The sequence below is a fragment of the Homo sapiens genome, chromosome 14 (assembly GCF_000001405.40).
Source record: "Homo sapiens chromosome 14, GRCh38.p14 Primary Assembly".
In the NCBI taxonomy this organism is placed as follows: domain Eukaryota; kingdom Metazoa; phylum Chordata; class Mammalia; order Primates; family Hominidae; genus Homo; species Homo sapiens.
The window spans coordinates 56,177,254-56,181,363 of record NC_000014.9 but is presented as its reverse complement, the minus strand read 5'-3'; the positions used below and the strand labels follow the sequence as shown (position 1 = coordinate 56,181,363).

Below are 4,110 nucleotides of genomic sequence, written 5' to 3'. Positions count from 1 at the left end.
CAAAAAAAAAAAAAAAAAAAAAAGTCCACCAGGGTCAGGAAGGGCCCAGAGCCAGAGACACAGGAAGAAGGATATCCATAGAGCCCAGAGAAAGAGAATCTGGAGTGGAATTAAGATATACCTGGAGAGGCCAAGTGGGCCAATAACCGTGGCAAACAGAGACAGGCTAATGGGTTGGATATCTTGATAAGAGATAAGGAAGTATATCCAAAAATAGAATGAACTGGAGATAATTCTCATTTCCAAGTGAAAATGGGCTGTAAGGAGCACCATATCAGTGGGAAAAGTGGCAAAGAAACTGAAAGAGTTAAAGTACTACAAGCTATAGATGCTACGGAGTCAGGGAGAAAGAGACTCGGGGGTAGGTACCGAGTCACTGAAATATGTTCCACAAACATAAGATGGAAAAAATAACAAAAGAGTGCATTCATTGAAAATCAGATTCAGTTAAAGCCAGGAAGTGGGAGGGGTATCTGAAGAAAAGGTTAAATATGTAAAGGGCTGAGTTCACAACTGGCTGGAGCTCCAAGGTAGAAGGTGCCAACAGAGCAGACCCAGCAGCAGCAGTGGCCTGGCACAGCTGGCAGGGATGAGAGTTTGAGAGGGAGCAGGAGTAAGGGGCGGAAGAGGTAGATGGGGGGCGCCAAGGTAGAAGGTGCCAACAGAGCAAACCAAGCAGCAGGAGTGGCCGGGTACAGCTGGCCGGGACGAGAGTTTGAGAGTCTGAAAGGCAACATGGTGTGGTTGATCTGCTCACAATAAATATGTCTGCTCTTAGTTTGCCCATCTCCCTTGGTCATAGTTCGGTGACCCAGGGGAGACCTATCAGAGTCTCTCTCTTGAAAATGTAAACCTTTAAAAGAGATAGAAGTTGGTTGGAGGAAAGTCACTATCTAACACTCTTGAAAAAATATCCATGTGCACTGTTGTTGATACTCCAGTTCTCCTCTCTCTCAAAACCTGGTTACTCAACTTTTCTCTGATTCTGAGGGCTAGCCTATAATAATTTATCTTACTTTTGTCTGTTTTATCTTAGCCAGAATAATTTCTATTGTTATGAACAAAGTATATTTTCTAATTCAACAGAGCTCCTGCTTGAAGCCAATTTACTCAGTTTCTAATGAGTAAACTGAGGCCCTGAGAATATATTTTTCCCAGATTATAAAATACAGAGGGTCAAGACCTAAACCCAATCTGCCCTACTTTTAGTACTGTGGGTAATATTTTTAAACACAGACTTAGATGACAATTATCAAAAGATTAATAATCTAAATAACTTGGAAGTAAAATCTAGGTATAAAAGTAAAACATAAAAGGCTAAAATGGGAGGAGATGGCAGTGGCTAAAGATTAAAGAAGAGATACTTTTCTCTCAACAGTTGCAAATTTTCATTCTATCACAACATGAAGCATGAGTAATCAAAGCAATATTTCTATACATTTTTTAAAATGTCAGCCATTGTATTAACACGAACCCAAGATTTTAAAAAAGAGGAAGGAAACAAAAGAAATGTCAACAAATAGACAAAATTATAAGGACCACATCTAAATACCAGAACATTTCTGGTGCTCATCACATGCTTAAAAACATCTGTTTTGGTATCGTTCTTCACCACATATTTTTGGAGTATAAAATGTTTCTCCTACTTCCTTGACCTCTTAAGATTCTGTTGTTATTTTACCTCTTCCTTTCCTCAGAATCTTCGTAAAGTTGGATTTCCTTTGTTTTCCTCATAAAATGTTCTTTCCACCTAAAAATGTTTAGTTTATTTCTCTTTTTCTAGCTTTGGCTTATCTACTAAATATTAATCTTTCTTGTTTCCGTGGTGTTTGATATTTTCTTATCTACTCATCCCTCATTAATACAAGATCGCTTCAATTGGCACCTCCTAACAAATTCTTTCAATGGCACTGCTTCAGAAATAGGAGCTTTTTAAAAATAAAAACATTAACAAAGGTGATCTATGTTTACATTGCATATAAATATCACACATGCTTCCATGAAGCCATTCCTTTTTCTTCCAAAAGTGGGTTTTCAGGAAAAATGGAAATCAAGACTCTCATTTATATGCCAGGTGGTCCAAACTCATGATCAACAGGTACAGCCAGTAGCCCCGTATGAAATGCTTCATGTAAATATATTTTATAGAAAATAAGACTATATATTAAGGAATTTATTTAATTAAAGAAACACTGTAATAAATCGACTATGTAACATATATCAATTGGAATAAAAACTCAGATTTTTTCCTCGACTTATAGATCAGAAAACAAATAACCAGTTTTTTTTAATTAGCATTTTATTCACTTCAAAATTATGAGAAAAAAATATGTATAGTCGGCCTCTTTTATCACTTGGTCGTGTATACTTTTCATCCTTCTATGAGCCACACAAATTCAATTCCATGTACATACAGATTATGTAAAACCACCTACTACACTCAATTAACAGAAGGAAAATAAATCATGAGGTTTATACCCAGATTTAAAACAAAAACTCTTTAGGATAAAGAACATCACATTTCAACTACATCTATTCCAAATCAATAAATGCTAGCTGCTTTGGTATACTAAAGCAGTGCTTCCTAATAGGACAGATTTTACCTGCCCAGCCCTCCCCAGGAGACGGGCTGCAATGTCTTGAGACATTTTTAGTGATTAACAACTGTGGGGAGCAAGAATGCGGGGGTGCTACTGGCACTTAGCGGGTGAAGGCCAGGGAAGCTGCTAAACACCCTACAATGCACAGCACAGCCCCTCACAACAAAGCATTATCCAGCCTCAAATGGTCTGAGAGACTGTCCTACATGAAAAGACGAAAGGAAAGAGAGCAGCGGACAAGGAGTATCTGTGAGTCACTGTTTGCCAGCACCCTCCCAACTCTTGACAGACCCACCTACCTTGGATGCCTGGGGCGTGGATATCACATGGACGGTGCTGGGTTTGACACCATTTGCCTTGGGCCGCTTGTAGAGGGCAAATCTACTTTTCCTCCGTCCTCTATCTCCATTGGGTAAAGCACCATTGTACCTAGAAACAGAGAGGAAAGAGTTCATCTATCTGCAGATTTTTCAAGCTTTAAACATAAAAGTTAGAGGTATTGAATAAGGGAAAAGACAGGAATGGTCATAAAAGAATTGCCCACTAAACACTCCACAAAAGGAAAGGGTTGCAATACAGACTTCAGCTGTAATGAAATTCAAATCACTTCTAGGAACTTAATTTAAGAGTGATGTACAAGTAATTATAGGTTTCCTATTTTATAAAGTCAGAGTCTTCAAATCTTTTTGGAAAGAGGCAGAGTATAAATAAGCAAATGAGTATTCTGCAGAGGCTGTATTAGGGCTGGCTCAATTCAACTAGCACCATTCTAATAGACCCCAGAGATACACTTGAGAAATATTTTTAAATGAACTAGTTAGAAAATAGCATACTAATTAAACCTCATCTCTCACTTTCAAACCATGTTAATGTTGTCTGCAGGATCTTTATTTGTAAGACAACCAATTTAGTTACTTGCTTTCTTAAAAGTTCAGAATCCTCCACATTCACTCTCATTTCTGTTTGAACCCTACGCTGTCAGATTAGCAAAAGACAGCTTGCAGAAATTAAATATATTTTTGTTAGCAAAAATTAGCTTGCAAAAATATACACATGAGTTTTAGTCCACAAATTGTCAAATAACTTAGAAGTCATCTGGAAAACATATAATGTCCTTAAGCAGGTTTCCTGTATTTAGCTAATACCAGTGCTTAAAAGACATGCAGGATCACAGTTAGCATTTCAATTTTCAGTTGTATTTTCTAACTCTGGATTAATCGGCCCTTGTATGTTCTTACTGATGACCCATATTGCTACATTAACACAACTATTCTCTGCTTCCACCTTGGCGGAAGTTCTTTTCAAGAAAAAAAATAAAAAACTAAAACAAGGAACATTTAAAATTTACAGAGGTATGTATGACAGCTCCAAGGCTCCCCCAGAACACCAAGGTTAGGAGACAGCAGGCCTGGTGGCTTGTTCCTGTCCCACAGATCCCTGGGCCTTCTCCACTTTTCCAGCTACACCCAGAAGGGAGTGGCCGGACAGGGGAAGCAAGAACTTGTGAAGC

At 38.2% G+C, this 4,110-nt stretch overlaps 1 protein-coding gene across 6 annotated transcripts in view; it reads right to left on the bottom strand.

Moving 5' to 3' along the window:
- PELI2 (pellino E3 ubiquitin protein ligase family member 2) overlaps positions 1-4,110 on the bottom strand; it is a 183,114-nt gene that overhangs the window by 120,161 nt on the left and 58,843 nt on the right. For all 6 annotated transcript variants that reach the window (XM_011536990.3, NM_021255.3, XM_005267890.6 and 3 more), the window contains one exon: positions 2,900-3,029. Coding sequence is in view for 3 of the 6 variants with exons in the window: in NM_021255.3 (NP_067078.1) it covers positions 2,900-3,029 (130 nt within the window). In the remaining 3 variants the exon portion in view is untranslated. The remainder of the gene's footprint in view (positions 1-2,899; positions 3,030-4,110) is intronic.